The 21,764-nt window shown below is 41.6% G+C and overlaps 1 protein-coding gene across 11 annotated transcripts in view; it reads right to left on the minus strand.

Annotated features, from left to right (window-relative positions):
• The window catches only part of TJP1 (tight junction protein 1), a 269,683-nt gene that overhangs the window by 126,823 nt on the left and 121,096 nt on the right, over positions 1-21,764 (minus strand). The window lies entirely within an intron of this gene.

Consider the following 21,764-nt stretch of genomic DNA (forward strand, 5'->3'; position numbering starts at 1 on the left):
TAAATTCAATTCAGTATACAGAAAGTTATTCCTCGAAAGAATTCCTCCTATGGGGCTACCCTTACCTCTGACTGGGGCTAAGGTGGAGTTTTCTTTTTTCAGGGTCCCAAATATTGCACAACCAGGCAGGTCGGAAGCTCCATAAATCCATGACTGGAATCCAGGCAGGCTGGCATACAGGCCTCTGGCTCATCCCTTAGCGGTTTGTCCTCCATTCTTCACAGCTTCTCCACTCTGATCTACACTTTCCTATGATTCCTTTAAGACTCCCTCCCCAGCCCAGGCAAAACATCTCATCTCATAATCCATAGAGAAAACAGACATTAAGGAATAGAAACTCCCTTCCCTTCCTGCCAAAACACTGACAAGTCTACCCTGGGCATCCGCTTTTCCTCTCCATCTTCCCCCCAAGGGTTATGAATTCCATCTTGGGGGGCTGACCCTCTCAGCTGTGTCCTCTTTCTGTATCATCTTCATCCTGTCCTTAGCTAATGAATTCTACCTCTGAGAATTCAAGCGTCTTCTAGTGTTTCCCATCTTAAACACAGTCAGGGCTCCCCAGGCTACCTACCAAGGTGTGCACTACTGCAGGTATACAAGACCCTAGGGCAGAAGGGCTTGCAGTTGGGGTTTAATGTGGTTGCTGTCTTGAATTGTAAGGACTTTCGTTTTGGATGTGTGTTTTGTAAGTGAAGGTCAATGGGAAAATGAGGCACACACTGGGGACTGGGGCCTCTGCTCTCACAGGGTCCTGTCGCCTCCTAGGAGGGTATCTGGGCTGCCCGCTCCCACAGCTCTTGATACCCCTGCTGGTCCTCTCCCACTCTGCTCCACTGCCACTGCTGAAAGGGATCCAAGCAAGGTGTGGGGTTTAAGTATGCATACCCACAGCATCTTGAGTGCACAAAAGCCCCAAACGGGCAGTGTCACTTTCTGTCTGGTGGCTGCCTGGCTGGAGGCAATCTCTTGGTGAGGGTGAGCCTTTGGCCCAGCCCGGATTCCAGATCCAGTCATGGAGGTTTAAGGATCCTTGGTGGTTACCATCTGCTGTGGGTTGGAGCAATAGGCCCGTGGCTCAAAGTCCCCAAACCCTGTCCCCAGCAGGGCATTCAGGTCAGGAGGTTTGCATGAATGTCATCACAGCAAGCTATCAGGCCCAGCACACATTAGTGGGACCCCAGGGCCCTCTGACCGTCTGTACTTGCTCTGATTACCCACCCCTAATCCTCTAGGGCCCCAGGGCCAGAGTGTTCTCTGGGCTGTTTCCCTGCCTGGGGATGGGATCCTCTCCCTCCTTCCAGCCTTCCCGAGTCTGGCTGTGTTCAGTCTCTTCTAGCCGGCTTGAGGCATCCTCCAGGGACAAGCCACAGAATATAAACTGTGTAATTTCAGTGACTCCACATGAGTTAAATATTCTGAAATTTGCATTTAAAACTGGTGTTGCACAATATAAACAGTAAAATTCATGCTGATAATTCACATTTTTAATTGTTCTTTACTCTGAACATGAAATAGTGCATAAAAAACATGACAAGTCAGGATGGAAACCCTGGAAGAAAAGAAAAAGCTTTAGGTGTACCTTTAATGACACTTTTTTCCTCCCTTTGAAACAAAGGGCCCCTAGATTATAGAGGCAGCTCTGAGTCCACCTCTTCCTGCAGATACTGTTCTGTCAGTTTGTGACAAGCTTCTCAAGAGTCGTCTGCCACAACTAGGTCTTTCTGTTGTGAATGCATGCCCAGGTCTTTTGGCATTCTTCCCCCTCCCCACTTTAATTTCACAAGTAATACTGGCATACAGTCCTTCTGTAAAAGATTCATGCAATTGATATATTTTTTAAAGTCCAACAGAACAACATCCACTGCATTCCCATTCCTATAATTACCCAGGAATACCATGATCTAAGCCTAACTAGAGAGTGTATTTCTAGATCACTTTCTGTATATTTATTTACGTGATATGTATGTGTGGAGACAGAGGAGAGAGAGAATATATGAATATAAGAATGTATGGTTTTGTGTGTTTTAAACTAATGATAGATAATATTTATATTCCATAACTTTTTAATGTAATATTTCACCTTGGAGATTATATCAAATAATGAAAATCTGCTTCATCATTTTAAAATGGCTGTTTAGTATTCCATAATATGGGTGCATTATAGTTTATCAAACTAAGATTATTTCTATTATAATGTCACAACAACAACAAAAAAATATATATATATCTTTTTGTATACATGTATAAGTATTTCTCTAGGAGAGACATCCAAAAAGGAATTATTTTCTGGATTAAAGAATATGCTTACTTAAAAAAAAATTTCACTGATACTGCCAAATTGCCGTCTAAGAAAACCAGATCAGCTTATTTTGTTTCCTCCTCTCCCCCCATATGAACACTTGATAATATTAATCTTTTATAGTTTCACCTATCTGGTAGACAACAATGGTATATCATTTGCCTATTACATCACTTACCCATTTTGCTCTCTCAGGTTATTTCTTTTAATTTGTTAATGTGTTCTTTGGAACTGAATGAATTGAGTCTTTTTTTTTTTTTTTTGAGGTGGAGTCTTGCTCTGTTGCCCAGGCTGGAGTCCAGTGGCTTGATCTCTGCTCACTGCAACCTCCACTTCACGGGTTCAAGAGATTCTCCTGCCTCAGCCTCCTCAGTAGCTGGGATTACAGAAGCCTACCACAATGCCTGGCTAGGTTTTTTGTTTGTTTGTTTGTTTGGTATTTTTAGTAGAGACGGGGTTTCACCATGTTGGCCAGGCTGGTCTCGAACTCCTGACCTTAAGTGATCCACCGCCTTGGCCTCCCTAAGTGCTGAGATTACAGGCATGAGCCACCATGCCGGGCCCCAATTCTAAGTCTTGGCTCTTGGCCGGCTCTATGTGTGTGTGTTAAGTACAATTTGTTTCAGAATAAGTTTAGCTTTACAGAAAAGTTGCAAAGATAGTACAGAGAGTTCCTGCTGACTTCCCCTAATATTAATATCTTGCATAACTATGGGACATTTGTTGAAAACTAAACGATTAACGTGGGTACAGTATAATTAAATTGCATCAAGTTCTGCCTGTTTTAACTCTTTAATTTCTCTTATATGCTTCCAATTTTGCCAATTCCTCCTACTTTCCAAATGTGAAAACTATTTTGGACATGTTACTTTCGAGCCTCTGGACTTTCATAAGCTTAGGTGTGCGAGGGTGCCTGGAGGAGGCAGAGAGCATAAATACAAAGTCACATAGAGGGTCCACGTGGAGTTTCACATTTCTGATTCAGTTCAGGAAACTTTTTTCCTCATGCTCACCTTTATGAAAGAACTGCTGTGAGACATTTCTGAGCCTCAAACACTAAGGGGAGAGTAGAAGAAATTTACAGCTCTTTAGATTAGTCTGTCCTCCCAAGATGGCAGGGAGTGCCAAATTCATTGCCTTAAAAAAAAGAAAAAAAAAAAAAAAGATTTCTTAAAAGCAGCAGAAGACTCCCCCAGAGTATAATGTTTGCATTTTTTTACAATGTGTGTGTTATAAAACCTTTATAATAAGTCTTTCAAAACAAATAAATGTAAAATACAGAAAAATTAGTAGAACTTGCTAAAACACTGCATTTTAAAAAGAGGTAAGCATACTTTTTATTTTAAAAATGTTTTAAAGGACGATAAATACACATCTGTAAAAAGAAACACTGGAAGGAAAACTAAGAACAAGTAATAATGGTTACTTTTAGAGGAGACAGAGGGCAGCAATGATATGAGACTTTTCTAGATATGCCCTATAAACCACTTTGGCTCTGGAAACAAAAATTCTTACATTAAAAAAAAAATACAATGAAATTTAAAAAAAAAGCCATCTCTAAAAGCTGAAAACAAATTGAAGAAAGAAAATTAATTTACATTAAATCAGTGACCTAACTAAATAGATAAAAGAATTATTTCCAATGACACTAGCATATTCTAATGAAAGTGGCACTGTAAAAAAATCTTAAATTTAATTCAGTAGTCTTTTAGTAATAACACTATTACTCTGAAACTGCTCTATATGTGTGTATGTGTACATCAACTAAAACTGTTACATATTCATTAGCATGTCATCTAATATGTAATTACACATGTCAGAATAATATTATTTATATGATAAATGTATAATAATTATATATAATGTATTGTCTAATATATGATGTAATATATATTAGTACATTTTACGTCTATTAGCAATTAACACACATCAATTTATATGAACATTACCATACTATGTATATAATAGTTTTGAAGCTACATATAAATATATAAGAATTTCAAAGTAATATTAACATTATTATATATTAGTGTATAATAATGCTAATATTACATATTATTACACTAATATATATTAATGTGTGTTAATGTTGTTAGAAACCAAGATTTTCTGTTTAAGAGAAAAGAGAAACAAGTATAAAATAAAAAAAGTTAAGATTTTGCAATTCTAGTTTAAGTTGAAAAACTCAGCATTAATTTTTTTTTAATATAATGCCTAGCTCTGGCCATTGAAAAGGACTGGGAGTAATGGAAATTCAATAGCAAGGAGTACTCCTAATGTCCGTATTGTAATCTCCAACTAGGAACAGCTGATTACAGGTCTGGAGCAAGAAATATACAAGATAATATTGGGACATTTTGGGCCAGAAAGCAAGGAAGTTCTCAAAGAATAATGAGTCAAAAGGATACAGAAGCCAACAACAAGTAGCTCTTATTGGCCAAAGATGATACAATTTGATCCTCAAAAGAAAAGAAACAAACAAAGGAAGAAAAGAAAAAGAATGCACCTGACTGAAAAACCCTGAATATCTAAAACCCATTAATTCACAATAACAAAAAAGAGCAGGAAAGCAAGAGAGCCCCCAAAACAAACAATAACCTATTGAACACCCCTGGATAAAACTTGGGAACCAAGTCCGTACTCTGTAAGCTGTCAATTAAAAGAGGAGAAAGAGGAGAATATATTTTGTATGAACTTTATTTCAGATAGCCAAATAACTCTAATTGCTGAGGGAAAGTTTTTCTTAATAAATCTGGAAGGAATTATAGAAAATCATCATCCTGTACTACTTAATGAAATAATAGATTCAGGCAGTGATCATCAAAGGATCAAATGATCAATCTTAGCATCACTGAAGGCAAGACAAGCAAACATTTATGCCTCCCATGTGAGGCAATTGGAAGCACACAGTAGTATCTATGAAGGATTCCTGCCAAAAAGTGAAACCTGAATGAAATCCAGTCTACAGGGCTAATGTGCATAAACAGAAATACAAGGGAAGGAGGTACAAGTTAAATGACTCCAAAGGCAAGCTTTACAGACGGATGTGGGAGGGCCTATATAGGAAAAGAGACCCCATTTTAAAAACAAGTTAATAAAAAAGAAAAGGAAAATGGGACTGCTGTGGATTTTATGTGGATTTCTTTTCAAATCTACTCACTGTAAAACGACATTTTAAAGACAACTAGAGAAATTTGATTATGGACTGAGTGTTAGATGGGACCTAGATGTGACAATGGCATCATGACTACATAAGGAAGGGACCCCTTTTTAGGAGATACATGTTGAAATATTTACAGTTGAAATGACATGTTTGGGATTTGCTTTTAAATACTTCAGCAAAGAGAAAAATAAAAAATAGAGGCAGCAAATGCGGCAAAATATTCAAAATTGGTGAATCAGGCGATGAGCACATGGAGGGTTTATTGTATTATTCATCTTTCTTTGGAGTATGTTTAAATGTTGGTGTACATTTGACAGTTCTTTATCACGCAAATCAACAATAACATAAAAACTGAAATATTTCTGTCAGCTAAAATAGGTAGACTGTAAATAATTGCCATACATTATTCCTGTCCCTGTTTGGATGTGCCACTGTGGCTCTTCTCATCAACAGATGGAGTCTTTTCTTCCATCCCTTGAATCTGGTCAGCAGTGAGAACTGCTTTAGTTAAAGGGTAAACATGACACAAGCAGAGGCTTGAAAAGCACTAGGGCATTGGGGCGGCTGAGAGCCCTGGGCCTACCACAGGAGAAGTTCAGACTAGCTTGCTGGAGAGGTCATGTGGAAAAGAAATGAGACCCTGGCTGAGGGTCTGCCAACCTGTAGACATATGAGTGAGGGAATTGTAGACCACACAGCCCCAGCCAAGCCACAAACTGACTGCATCTGCAGAGTCAGCCCAGGCAAGTCTAGCTGTCTGAGCCAGATTTGCCGACGCACAGAATCATGATTGTTTTTTAATATGCTAAATACTGAGGTGGTTTGTTACATGGCAATGACTGACTGATACATAAGGATAAACCTATAGAAGTACTATACACATATGCAGAAAACTGTCTTAGCTTCTTAGCACTGTGAGGGACATGCCATGTACTCAATAAGGATGTCTGAATGGGAATTCCATGTCACTAGAAAATGGTATATATGGAAACTGTCTAAAGGCAATGGAAGGCTTAGGTAGACTACTTCCTTTTGTGTATATGAAGTACTATCAAACCAAGTAGTTACTCCACTGATAGAGGCAGATGTGGGAAGATAAACTATGTAGAACTTTTTTTCCTTGGAAGACTAAAAAGGTCTGGCTTTGCCGCTGGTCAACTATGACCAGACACTACGGAAACAGTCATTGAGATTGCTGGCAGATGGCCTGGCCTTTCTCCCCTGACACAATTCTGCAACCCAAGTGGCCAGTGTGTGGAGAGAACACACATCCCTGTGAGAGGCCGCCTAGCTTTTCCTCCCCTAAGGGCCACACTGGGCCACCCCAGCACACATCAACTTGGCTGGCACACTTTCCTGCAAAGCAGATTCCACTCTGTGTACTCTGAGAACAAATCATGTTTCCTCCTTGCCAAAGGTTTTTGCTTGCAAATGTTGGATCCAGGTATAAGGATTAATGAGGGAATATTTAGAGTGCCACAAAAAAAAAGTTCTATATAGAAGCCACAGAAGTACATGTGGATCTTCTAGTAGAGGTATTTTTTACTAAAAGAAAATACCAAAACATTTTCATCTTAAAAAGCTCAAGTAAATCTGATCAATTTAGCAGAATCACATAATTTGTAATAATATACGTATAAGGATTGTGTAGTTAATCTTAGTATCATTAGCAAAATACTATACTTGTAAAAGAAAAATTCAAGATAGTTAAATATTTCTCCATAATAGTAGCTATTTAATTGGAAAATTTTTTGTTTTCTTTGAGACAGTCTCGCTCTGTCACCCAGGCTGGAGTGCAGTGGCATAGTCTCAGCTCACTGCAACCTCTGCCTCCCGGGTTCAAGCAATTCTCATGTCTCAGCCTCCCGAGTAGCTGAAATTACAGGTGCACACCACCACATCCTGCTAATGTTTGTATTTTTAGTAGAGATGGGATTTGGCCATGTTGGGAGGCTAATCTTGAACTCCTGACCTCAAGTGACCTGCCTGCTCTAACCTCCCAAAATTGCTAGGATTACAGGTGTGAACCACCACACCCGGCCTACTTGGAAAGTATTTTTAAATTAATTGATACTTTAATCTTTGATGAATATAGCTATTCTCAGTATATTAAAATGACTACTCACACAACGCCACCCACATTTACATGCTAATTTATCCAACCTCCTCATTTATATTTTTAAAGATGCAATATAATTTTTGTAAGTATATATATATATATATATATATATTTTTTTTTTTTTTTTTTTTGAGACGGAGTCTTGCTCTGTCCCCAGGCTGGAGTGCAGTGGCGCAATCTCGGCTCACTGCAAGCTCCACCTCCCGGGTTCACGCCATTCTCCTGCCTCAGCCTCCTGAGTAGCTGGGATACAGGCGCCCGCCACCACGCCCGGCTAATTTTTTGTATTTTTAGTAGAGACAGGGTTTCACCATGTTAGCCACGATGGTCTCAATCTCCTGACCTCGTGATCGGCCCACCTCGGCTTCCCAATGTGCTGGGATTACAGGCATGAGCCACTGGGCCCGGCCGTAAGTATATTTTTTAAAGCTTAAGAATCTTGTGAGTAAATAGGGATTTTTTTTTTTTTTGAGACAAAGTCTCACTCTTTTGCCAGGCTGGAGTGCAGTGGCGAGATCTCGGCTCACTGCATCCTCCACCTCCCAGGTTCAAGCAATTCTCTGCCTCAGCCTCCAGAGTAGCTGGGATTACAGGCGGGCACCACCCGCCCAGCTAATTTTTGTGTTTTTGGTAGAGACAGAGTTTCACCATCGTGGCCAGGCTGTTCTTGAACTCCTGACCTCACAATCCACCTGCCTTGGCCTCCCAGAGTGCTGGGATTACAGGCATGAGCCACCGCACAGCCGGCCTGAGATGTTTTATACTATTTTGCAGTAGCAAACTTCTATCCAGTAAATGTTTCAAGTATCTTTTTGAACCATGACTTTGGAGTTAACATTATTCAATGAGGTTAATGACACAAAAAGATAATTAAATATGGTGAACGGAAAGAATGGACAGTAAAAGCTAAGAAAAATTGGTGGCAGCTTCATTATTTGTGAAACTAAACTTGAAGGGGACAAATTAAAACTTGCAGCTGAGCTTCAAGTGCAGCAAAAACCGGCAGAAACCAGGGTCCCCACAGGGATTCTGCGCTTTGGGGAGAACTTCTGTTCTTCTGCTCCTGTTTTGTCCTGTTTTGTCTTTCTGAAAAGGCAACACAAAGAGCTGAGGAAAAGCCAATAGATTCATTATCATTCTACCTAATAATAAAATAATGTTCTCTTAACAAAGTGTGGACACACATGGCGAAGGCATCAGAAAGAACCTGATGGAAATAATCTGGAAAAGGTCTTTTGGGAATGAAGTTTCCTCATCTGCAGAATGGAGGAGGGGTAATGAGAGGGGCTTGTTGGGGGCCAGGAGAAGTGGGCTGGATGAATTCCAAGATCCTTTATAGCTATAACTTTCAGTGATCTAGGTTAAAAGCTGAAGATCTTTTTCATCCCTGACTATGAGGCCAATGTGAGATGTGGTTATCTGTAGGTCTTACAGTGCTTATTATAAAACTATATATTAATACTTTGTTTCCATGAAAAGCTCTAATTTTAAATGTGGGTAATTTTAAATGTGATTAATATTTCCATAACGGAGTGCATATTATATGAAAATCAAAAGTTTTATAAAAGCTGGGCACATTTAAAAACATACAAAATCCCAGCTCAGCTTAAGTATATGGTTGCAAGAGTGTGTGTTTTCAAAGGGTGGGGCTTCCTGTCTCTGGATTGTTTGGAAACATTCTGACAAAGCCAAATTCATTTCACTGATATCCTGAATGCAGCAAGGAACTGGTGCCTAAAATAGCACAAAATTGCCTGTAGTCCCAGCTACTGGCGAGGCTGAGGTGGGAGGATCACCTGACCCCAGGAGGTTGAGGCTGCAGTGAGCTATGATCGCGCCACTGCACTCCAGCCTAGGCCACAGGGCGAGACCCTAGCTGCAAAAAAAAAACAAAAAGCACAAAACATGATACTCTAACATGTAGAATCAGTTTAAGTCAACTAAGAAATGTGATAAACACCCAAAAGATTTCAAATCTGTATTCTCTAAATCCTTTTGAGAGAGTCTCCACAATTAGCTGGACTGGAAAACTTAGCAACATTTAGCATACTTTTCGGTCACATATTCATTCATTCTTTTTTTAACTATTCAACAAATAGGTAAATAGATGGACGGGGAAAGAGAGAGAGAGAGAGACAGAGAGAGACAGAGAGAGAGAGAGGAGATAGATACCTCTTACTACATGCCAGAAACAATTTCTTTTAAAATTTTTCCAGTTTTTTTCTTCTTTAACTTCATACTCCCTTTGTCTCCTGTCTTTGTTGGGTATGATTATTCAAGAATACATTTAACTTGTGGCACTAAATCCAGAGCACTCTCTAATAGGGAGAAAACACAACCACTGTGGTGTCAGGAGGAGGAAGTAAATGTGTGAGCAGCTTGGTACACTCTTCACTATCCTCACCTCAAAGGAAATACAGAGGTGGATCAGGAAGCCAGTTTCAACTGGACTTACTGCTGCTTCTTGCTGACACTATTGTTACGTTATCTGTGGGATGATCAACTTTTTTTTTTTTTTTGAGAGACAGAGTCTTGCTCTGTCGCCAGGCTGGAGTGCAGTTGCACAATCTCAGCTCACTGCAAGCTCCGCCTCCCGGGTTCACGCCATTCACCTGCCTCAGCCTCCCGAGTAGCTGGGACTACAGGCACCCGCCACCACGCCTGGCTAATTTTTTGTATTTTAGTAGAGACGGGGTTTCACCGTGTTGGCCAGGATGGTCTCCATCTCCTGACCTCGTGAACCACCTGCCTCAGCCTCCCAAGTACTGAGATTACAGGCCTGAGCCACTGCGCCCAGCCGGGATGATCAACTTTTAAAGAGTCAACCTGGGACACAGTGATAATGACAAAAACCATAACAACATAACATTGCTATGGTCTGAATATCCCCCCAAATTCATGAGTTGAAACTTAATCACCAATGTCATAGTATTATGAAGTGGGGCCTTCAGAGGCAACTAAGTCATGGAGACAGAGCCCTCATGAATGAGATTACTGACCTGATAAAAGGGCTGGAGGGAGAGAGATCACCCCTTTTTACCCATCCATCATTTTTCTGCCTCTGTCATGTAAGAAAACAGTCTTCCTCCCCTCTAGAGGATACAGCCACAAAGTGCCAACTTGGAAGCAGAGAGCAGCCCTCAAAGACACCAAACCCACTGGCGCAGCCCCCTTGGACCTTGCAGCTTCCAAAACAGTGAGAAATAAATTTATACTGTCCATAAATTACCCAATCTATGATATTTTGCTATAGCAACACAAATGGACTAAGACAAACATAAAAGAAGTAATTACACATGTGTTACTGCTTTAACACAGAAAAGATGTGGAGGTGAAATATATTATTCTGTATTATTTACTTTTCTGTAACATAAATGTTATTATTTAAACAGAACAACAATAGAACTAGTTAATGATAGTAATTAATAGTAGAACAAATTAAGCAATGTGTGAGAAAAATATAACAATACTTTTAAATGTTTCTTTCTGTTCTCTGATACAGGAGTTTATTTTAACTATTTTTTTAAAAAGTCTTCCTAGCACTTTGGTAGGCTGATGCGGGTGGATCACCTGAGGTCGGGACTTCAAGACCAGCCTGACCAACATGGAGAAACCCCATCTCTACTAAAAATACAAAATTAGCTGGGAGTGGCAGTGGGTGCCTGTAATCCTAGCTACTCAGGAGGCTGAGGCAGGAGAATCACTTGAACCCGGGAGGCGGAGGTTGTGGTGAGCCAAGATGGCGCCCTTGCACTCCAGCCTAGGCAACAAAAGAGAAACTCCGTCTCAAAAAAAATTAAAAACAAAAAGTCTCTATTTGTTATTTAAATTTTGTAGGCTTTATATGTTGTGTATTCTTAACACATATAAATGTACGACTTTTACAAAGAAAACATAAATACAACATGGCTAATTTAAAAGATAGTACCTATATTTAGTAACAACAGCAAAAGATCATGTCCTGTTTCTTTCTGCCCCATGACACAGTGGGATATCTTTACTCTTTCTGTTTCCTTTTCCAATAACACTTCTTTGAACTGCCTGCAGTGGTAAGACATATCTCTTTTGACTTGCACCTCTGCTCTTCTCAAGCGCACAATACACTGATTCCTGGTATCAATCCAATGTGATGACATCAAGCTAAATATCCTCTCAAAAGCATCTGAGTGTGGAATACCTATAATTTTATTTCCTAGCAAGAATAGGATTTTAGACTTAGGAGGATTCATTTCCAGCTCTCCAAAAATGTCCATCCCTTTGTTAATTAGGTTGTTAGCATCTATAAATTCATCACATAGGCTACACATATATAAAATATCCACTGTTCTATAAAACCTTTTATTTTGAAACAATCGTAGATTAACAAGAAGTTGGCCAGGCATGGTAGCTCACGCCTGTAATCCCAGCATTTTGGGAGGCTGAGGCAGGTGGATCACTGGAGGCCATGAGTTCAAGACTAGTCTGGCCAATATGGCAAAACCCTGTCTCTACTAAAAATACAAAAATTAGCCAGGTGTGGTGGTGCACATCTATAATTCCAGCTACTTGGGAGGCTGAGGCATAAGAATTGCTTGAACCCAGGAGGCAGAGGTTGCAGTGAGCTGAGATTGCACCACCGCACTCCAGCCTGGGTGATGGAGTAAGACTGTGTCTCAAAAAAGAAAATAAAACAAGAAGTTGCAAAGAAATGTACAGGGTAGTACAAGCTACCCACACCCAGCCCCTCCAATGTGAAGAATACCTTACATAACTCTAGAACAATATTCAAACCAAGAAATTGACATTGGTACATTCCAAACATGTTATTCAGATTTCACCTGTTATACATGTACTCTGTGTGTCTGTGTGTGTGTGTGTGTGTGTGTAGTGTGCACAGCTCTCTGCAACTTTATCACAATGTAGTCTTTCTTGTATAACCATAACCACCACCACCACTGAGGGATTTAACTATGCCTTCACCACAAGACTCTCTCATGTTACTCCTTACAGCCTACACCCATCCTCTCTCCCCAGTCCCTAACCCCTGGCAACTACTAACCTGTTCTCCCTCTCTATAATTATGTTACTTCATGAACATTACATAAATGGAACCATACAGTACGTAACCTGCTGGAATTATGTTTGTTCATCACCGTAACTTCCTTGAGGTTTATACAAGTTGTTGCATGTATCAATGGTTCCTTCCTTTTTATCAGAATAGTAATCCACAGTAAAAATTCACCTTTTTTTTTTTTTTTTTTTTTTTTGAGACGGAGTCTGGCTCTGTCACCCAGGCTGGAGTGCAGTGGTGCCATCTCGGCTCACTGCAAGCTCCGCCTCCCGGGTTCACGCCATTCTCCTGCCTCAGCCTCCCGAGTAGCTGGGACTACAGGAGCCCACCACCATGCCCGGCTAATCTTTTGTATTTTTACTAGAGACGAGGTTTCCCTGTGTTAGCCAGGATGGTCTTGATTTCCTGACCTCGTGATCTGCCCGCCTCAGCCTTCCAAAGTGCTGGGATTACAGGTGTGAGCCACCGCACCCGGCCTAAATTCACCTATTGAAGGACATTTGAGTGGTTTCCAAATTTCTTGCTATTATAAAAATAGTGGCTGGGTACAGTAGCTCATGCCTGTAATCCCAACACTTTAAGATGCCAAGGTAAGAGGATCACTTGAGCCCAGGAATTCAAGACTAGCCTGGGCAACATAGTGAGACCTCATCTCTACATTTAACAGTTTAAAAATTAGCAGGGTGTGGTGGTGTGCACCTGTAGTCCCAGCTACTCAGGAGGCTGAGGTGGGAGGATTGAGCCTAGGAGGTAGAGGCTACAGTGAGCTATGACTGTGACACTTTACTCCATCTTTGGTGACAGAGAGAGAACTTGTCTCTAAAAATATAAATAATAAAATAACAAGAAAAATATTATACGAAAACCGTGAAACTGTTATGAACATTCCTGTACAAATCCCCATGTGAAAATAACTCTTCATTTCTCTGGAATAAATGCCTAAGAATTGAAATGATAAGTTGTATGGTAAATTCATTTTTAGTTTTGAAAGGAACTACCAAATTGTTTTCCAGTGTGGCTGTCTCATTTTATATTCCTACCACCAATGTAGGAGTGATCCAGTTTCTTTGCATCCTTGCCAACATATGATGTTTTCACTATTTTTTCACTCTAGCCATTCTGATTTGTGTGTAATGATACCTTGTGGTTTTATTAAGAATTTGCATTTCTTCAAAAGCTAATGACATTGAACAGCTTTTCATGGGCTTACTTGCCACCTGCATGTCCCCTTGATGAGGTGTGTGTGTCTTTTGTCCAGTTTCTAATCAGATTTTTTTAAACTATTGAGTTTTGAGAGGTCTTTATATATTTATGTGCAAGGACTTTGTTGAATATGCGATTTGCGAATGCAGTATTTTCTCTCATCTAGTTTGTTTTTTCATCCTTTCAGCAGACTCTTTCCCAGAGCAAAGGTTGATTCTGATGTGTTCTAATTGATCAGTTTTTCCTCTTATGGATTGTTTTTGGCATCAAGTCTAACAGGTCTTCACCCAGTCCTAAGTCCTCTCTCTTATGAATTTTCTAGAAGTTTTATAGTTTCACATGTAAGTTTGTCCATCATTTTTAAACACTCTGAAGAGATGTTATTAAGTTAAACGTCTCTTTCTCAGGTTGGGCAAGAGGGAAGAAATGTAGGTGAGGATAGACGAAGGGGCGATAAGAAAGGGTGACGGAAGACAGGCTCGGCAGACTTTCCCGTGAGAGAAATGCTCCAGACAGCACCCTGTTCCTCCAGGAGCTGAATCTTGGGCATGGATTCTCCCTACCCCATCCCCGCCCATCCTGCCCACAACACTGCCCCAGGACACGCCTCCTGAGGCCAGGCAGCCTCCATCTTTATGTGGCCAAAGGGGGTCTAGGTAGTTGTCAGCTTCAGCTTCTGGAAAGAGACCAGCTGCTGTATCCAGTGGGTCCCAGTGGTTTGCTTAGATAGGATGCCACTCACTATGCCAGGTGTTTGGGATAGAAGAAAGAATAACTGGAAGGTCTCAGTATTCAAAGAACCTACAGTCCAGAGAAGGACACAAAATAAGAAAGAAGAGAGCAAGGGCTAAGGGTACAGGTAGGAGAGAGAAGCAGAAAAGGGGAGCATAACTGAGACTTCGGGAAGGCTTTCCTAGGAGATAGCACTGTAGATGTGTGGCTATCTGAAATTGCAAACTGTGAACCAGAGAATAAGAGTTCCTGCATTTCAAAGTCCTTGAAGTAGATTTCAAAGGGTACCAGTTTGAGGGCTGCTCTTCTAAAAATAGGACACTGGCATTTCCCATGAGCAACAAGAACTCACAAGAAGGTGGAATGTGACTGGATAAGGCTGACAACAAGGGGAAGCAAGCCTGACATTCTCCCCACCAGCCTGGAAGTCTGGGCCTTAGCAAATGTGAAAGGCTAGGGTTCAAGCTGAAACCCCGTGTCCTTATGTAACCTAGACGAGGCTGCAGTTTAGTTGGGCTAGGCTACGGCCAAAAGCTTACCAAGCAGAAATTCAGGGGGAAAATATTTCAGCAAAAATATTTAACCCACTGAAAATAATTTATACTTGTTCATATGTTTACAAACAACCTGCTGATTAAAATGGCTCTTAACTACTCATTAAAAGGAGGCCCACCCTTCAGGACCTATACTTTGCAACACTTAGTTACTATTTAATTGGAGATACAGTATAAGCAAAAATATGAAAAGGCTGCATTTCTTTATATGCTATAATTTTACTTTGTGATGATTCTAACTTTCTCTGCCCTCAATTAGTCTGATTTAGTGATGTCTTGTCATGTATAGGCTATAAAATCCTGATGCTGTTTCTCAACTTGCCAGTCAGAATAGCAGGATTAATAAATTCTCAAGATTTTTAAAAGATCAAAATTGGAGCCCCTGTTTTTTTCCTTCCTTCCTCCTCCTCCCTCCCTCCCCTCCTTTTTCCTTCCTTTCTTCCCTGATTTTTAGTAACATTTATCATAAAAAATACAACCTATATATTTCTTGACCATAACTTACATGTGATTGAGAAGCATCGAATTAGAGTTTGTGGTCTCTGTCTTCCAATATCTTGTATGTACTATACATAATAAAGTTGGTTCATCATCATAACTGGGGCTTTTTAAAGCCAGAACCCCATCAAGAATTCCCATAAGTAGGAACATTTCCAGAAGTGGTAGGGTACAGTAAGATTTTTTGATCTGCTGGTAAACGCTGACGGGGATACCCACTTAGGCTATTTTATTTTGAAAGAGCGATGAAAATTTGAGCAAATGATAGCTTCCAGATACAGTAAGTCCTCACTTAACATCATTGATAGAGTCTTAGAAACTGCCACTTTAAGTGAAACGACGTATAACAAAAGCAGTTGTATCATAGGTTCATTGATATAAACAAGAGTTAAGTTCCTGGAGCGTATTTCTGGCCATGAAAACATCACCAAACTTCTAAATAAAAGCCCCAAACGCTTCTAACTATTAAGCATTGAAATAAATGTGAGCTATACATACATTTAAGAAAGATTAATAAGAACAAGTAAGATAGCTATTTACTCAATTCTTCCATTATCAGGAATAATTAATTGAGTCTGCCAGATCGTGTCCCAACAGCTCAGGGTGCAAGGAGGGAACCAACCCTGGACAGTATGCCATCCCCCACCGCAGGTGCACCCACACACACCCACACTCACACTGGGACCAAGCAGACACCATGGTTCACCTCACATGCACGGCTTTGCAATGTGGGAGGAAACCAGAGTACCTGCAGAAACCTACAGAGACATGGGGAGACCATGCAAACTCCACACAGACAGTGGCCCCGCGCCAGGAATTGCTTTCTAGTCAATGTTGTAAGAAAATGACATTGAATGAAATGATGTTATTCAAGAACCTGCTGTAAAGGAAGGCCAATATATGATCAGAAGTGCACATCTCTAATGAAGAAATCAGGAAGAGCCATTTTGCTTTCCCTTAACCCTGCTGCCCCCAGGTAACAATAGTAAGTTTCCTTCAGTTACCCCTTTCTTTTCCACATAGAAGAAGGAAATTTCACTTTTGAAATGTTGAATTATCCTGTTTTCACGCAAGCAAAGTTGCATAATGGTCTTGGCTTTGCCAGCTACATGGTGTCTACAGGTGGACAAAATGCCTATTTCTGTGTCCTTACCAATAAAAATGGGATAATCACTGATTTTTTTAAAAAGTCATTGCTATAAAGATTAAAACGAACTCCTGTATGAGAAAGTAAATAAAACCACTAAAAAATATGAGTAAAAATGCTCATTTTGTAACCAAATGATTCTTTATGTCCCTTTTATTTTGTCCTGCTATTTGCTATTGATTGCTGTTCCTATCTTTGACTTTTCTTTCTGTTTTTTTTCTTTTTTCTTTTCTTTTTTTTTTTCTTTTTTTGAGACGGAGTTTCGCTCTTGTTGCCCAGGCTGGAGTGCAATGGCGCAATCTCGGCTCACTGCAACATCCGCCTCCCGGGTTCAAGCGATTTTCCTGACTCAGCCTCCTGAGTTAGCTGGGATTACAGGTGCCCACCACCACACCTGGCTAATTTTGTATTTGTAGTAGAGACGGGGTTTCTCTATGTTGGTCAGGCTGGTCTCGAACTCCCAACCTCAGGTGATCCGCCAGCCTCAGCCTCCCAAAATGCTGGGATTACAGGCGTGAGCCACCGTGCCCAGCCTACCTTTGATTTTTCTATCAATGCAAAGTTGGAGGAGTTAAGCAACCATTCCTAAGATGAAGAAAGTTATCTTCTAGACCAAATTCAATTTTCAGCAGTAAGGAACAGACAAAAAATCCTCTTCCCCTGCCCCACAGCTTCCATTGTACTAGAAAAACACAGACAACAAATAAAACAAATAAGAAAAATATGTGAAATGTTCAATGGTAGTAAGTGCTAGAGAGGAAAAACTAAGTGAAGAAAGTGAAGGAGGAGGATAGGGCATCTGTGGGGAAGGCAGGGGACGGCTCAATCTATGGATTCAGGAAGGGTGTGGTCTGCGTGCTCCCAGTGTGAGTGTGGGTGTGTGGGCTGGAAGAGGCCAGGGAGTGAGTCACATGTACATCCAGGAAAATGCTTCCAGGCAGAAGGGACAGTAACCACAAGGTGGGAGAGGCCTTGATGTATCTGAGGACAGCTGGAGATCAGTGGGCTGAAGCAGAGTGAGAATTGAAGGGGAGGAGAGCAAAGAAGCAGCAGAGCTGGGCTAGGGTGGGCAGAGCACCAGAGTGACTGTTTTTTTGTGTGTTGTTTTGAAACAGAGTCTTGCTCTGTCGCCCAGGCTGGAGCCTTGAGACGGAGTCTCCCTCTGTCTCCCAGGCTGCAGTGCGCGGCTCACTGCAACCTCCTCATCTCGGGTTGAAGCGCTTCTCCTGCCTCAGCCTCCCGAGTAGCTGGGACTACAGGCATGCATCACCACGCCGGCGGATTTTTGTATTTTAGTAGAGACAGGGTTTCATCATGTTGGCCAGGCTGATCTCGAACACCTGACCTCAAGTGATCTACCCTCCTCAGCCTCCCAAAGTTCTGGGATTACAGGCATGAGCCACTGCACCCGGCCCACAGTGGCTGTTCTAACAGAAACGCTGCTGCTGTGCAGAGAAGGAAGGCAAGAGCAAGGGTGGACACAGGCCAGTGAGGTGGCACCAGCAGTGACCCAGGGATGAGGTCATAGCAGCCTGGACCAGACAGCATCAGTGGATGTGCTGCTGGACTCCAGACACATGGTGAAGGCAGAGCTGACAAGATGCGAGGGTAGACTGGATGCATGGTATGGAGAAAGCGGGGAGTCAAGATTTTTTATCTGAGCAACTAGAAGGACAGCACAGCCATCTAGTAAGATGGTAAAGACTTCTGGAAAAGCAGGTTTTGGAGGCTGATGTCAGGAGCAAGTTTGGGGCACGTTATATGTGAGTCATGTATTACATATCCACCTAGAAATGTTGAGTAGGCAATTGGTGAGATCAATCTGGACTTAAGGAGAAATATTCAGGTTGGAGGTACAAATAATCATCAATTTAAGATGCTATTTGAAGCCATGAGGAGGGGCTAGCTCACAAAGCAGGGTGCAGATACCAAGAAGAGATCCAAGACCAGGCTTTGGGCATGCCAATGGTAAGAGGTTTGGGAGAAGTGGCAATGGTGACTAAGTTTGAGTGGACAGTAAGACAGAGTATGGCATCTTGGAAGCCAACTGCAGAACATGTTTGAAAAAGGAACTGATTGACCGTGACCTGTGTCAAATGCTATTGTTAGGCTAAGAAGATGATAACAGAAAAATGACCAAAATGGATACTCCCAAGCCCTCAAACAAAGTATGCTAAAGCAGTTTTTAATGTTTTAATAAGGTCTTAAGTTTAAGATGAGAATTTGCACAAATATTTATATCCTCTCCTAAATCTCACTAAAATGACCCTAAAAATAAGAAAGGATAAAGACAATATTGGTCAGGCTATGTCTCTTCCTCTCTCTTCCCTAAACTCTAAACAGATGCTGGGATTAATTCAAAGATGGATTTTCCAGCTTAAACTGACTATTCATCCCAGGAAATCCAGAGGAATGGAAGCCCCAGAGATACAAAAGGAAATACGAAACCTCCCAGGACTCCAGCAGGTTTGTGAGGAGATAACAATATAGGTGGAGTGACAAGAAGACACACATAAAAAGTCAAGCAAAATAAAGAAGACAAATGTCAATTTACAAAATAAATTGTACTGGCTGGGCGCAGAGGATCACACCTGTAATCCCAGCACTTTGGGAGGCAGAGGCGGGCAGATCACGAGGGCAAGAGATCGAGACCATCTGGCCAACATGGTGAAACCCCATCTCTACTGAAAAAAAACAAAAATTAGCCGGGCGTGGTGGCAGGCGCCTGTAGCCCCAGCTGTCGGGAGGCTGAGGCAGGAGAATGGCGTGAAACCGGGAGGCGGAGCTTATAGTGAGCTGATATAGCGCCACTGCACTCCAGCCTGGTGACAGGGCGAGACTCCATCTCAATAAATAAATAAAATTAAATTAAAAAGTTGTACTAATAATCTAACATAGTTTTCACTATTCTATTACAAGGCAGCAGAGAGTGCTGGCTCACCAGTGGCCAGGGGGAGGTCAACATTCACATGGATTACCATGAGCTTCTCAATTCCCAGTCTTATCTCCATTCCCTCTCAGCTACACATATGCATGGGCACACAAGGGACTTCTCCATCATCCCAAACTGCCTCCTCCCCCAACTCACTGCACTCACACCTCCTAACCACACACACTTAACTCCTATCTTTGCGTCTTTCTTCTCTTGCCTCCTGACCCCTCCAATGCATTCTCTACACTGCACTCAACTGATCTTTAAGAGACCCATCACCATAACCTCTCCTGCTTATAATCCTGCAAAACTGAAGCCCACATCCTTAATATGGCCTACAGCTCCTGCAGATCAGACCTTCCTCCCAGGCTTGTCCAATGTCTTTCCATTCACTGCGATAGCCCCAGTGAGGGTCCCCCCAGTTCTAGGATGGCACCATGCTCCTTCCCAGCTCAGGCCCTGCACCTATGCTGCGCCTTTCATTGCCTTCTCCACCAGTGCCTGACATGGCACATTAGAAAGCTTTCGGTTAATAACTACTTCTCTATTCACTTGCTGATTTGATATCAGGGAGTTACACACAAGAGAAGGGAGACCTGGATAAAAGGGGGAAATGACAAGCAGAGAGAGCAAAATGATCAGTTTATTCACTCATTCTAGACATATTGAAGAGGTTAGGGAGGTCCAGGTAAATTGGAGCAGTGGAAATCTTAAAGAGCCAGGGGTCAACATATCAGCCCTACAAAAGAAAACAAGGGGCCTGATGCGGTGGCTCACGTCTGTAATCCCAGCACTTTGGGAGGCCGAGGCGGGCGGATCACGAGGTCAGGAGATCGAGACCATCCTGGCTGACATGGTGCAACCCCATCTCTACTAAAAATACAAAAAAGTTAGCCGGGCCTGGTGGCGGGTGCCTGTAGTCCCAGCTACTCAGGAGGCTGCGGCAGGAGAATGGTGTGAACCTGGGAGGTGGAGCTTGCAGTGAGCCGAGATGGTGCCACTGCACTCCAGCCTGGGCAACAAAGCGGGACTCCGTCTCAAAGAAAAAAAAGAAAGAAAGAAAGAAAACAAGGGCTGAGATCAAGGAAAATGGTCTGAATACATATCAATGCCTGATTCAAGTAATGTTTGGAAGAAATCAGTAAATATTTATTGAACACTTACTATATGCAAAGCAACATAGTACAAAACGATACATAGTTTACTTTTGTTTACTTGTTTATTTAATTTTTTTGAGACGGGGTCTTGCTCTGTCACCCAGGCTGGAGTACAGTGGCATGATCACGGCTCACTGCAGCCTCAAACTCCTGGGCTCAAGCAATCTTTTCCTCTCAGCTTCCAGAGTAGCTGGGACCACAGGTGCGCACCACCACACCCAGCTAATTTTTGTATTTTTTTGTAGAGACGAGTTTTGCATGATGCCCAGCCAAGAACCAGCCTTTTGATTTTTTGCTTTTTTCTTTTGTTTTCCTATTTTTAATTCTATTAATTTCTGCTCTTTATTATTCCCTTCTTTTGCTTGCTTTGGCTGATTTTGCTCTCCTTTTTCTAGGTTCTTGAGGTAGTAAATTAGGTTACTGATTTGATGCCACTCTACACTTTTAAAGTAAGCACTTGGGCTGGGCCCAGTGGCTCACGCCTGTAATCCCAGCACTTTGCGAGGCTGAGGTGGGCGGATCACGAGGTCAGGAGATTGAAACCATCCTAGCTAACAAGGTGAAATCTCATCTCTACTAAAAATACAAAAAATTAGCCGGGCGAGGTGGTGCGTGCCTGTAGTCCCAGCTGCTCGGGAGGCTGAGGTAGGAGAATGGTGTGAACCCGGGAGGCGGAGGTTGCAGTGAGCAGAGATCGCGCTACTGCACTCCAGCCTGGGTGACAGAGCTAGACTCTGTCTCAAAAAAATAAAAATAAAAATAACATAAATAAAAAATAGAGTAAGCGGTTAGTGCTATTCATTTCCCTCTGATTCACTGCTATGGCTGCATCCCACATATTTTGAATATGTTTTCAACATATGTTTTTATTTCCAATTATGTGTATTTTTACATTTTCTTTGAGAAAACT

This window comes from Homo sapiens, chromosome 15 (genome assembly GCF_000001405.40).
Source record: "Homo sapiens chromosome 15, GRCh38.p14 Primary Assembly".
Lineage (NCBI taxonomy): Eukaryota > Metazoa > Chordata > Mammalia > Primates > Hominidae > Homo > Homo sapiens.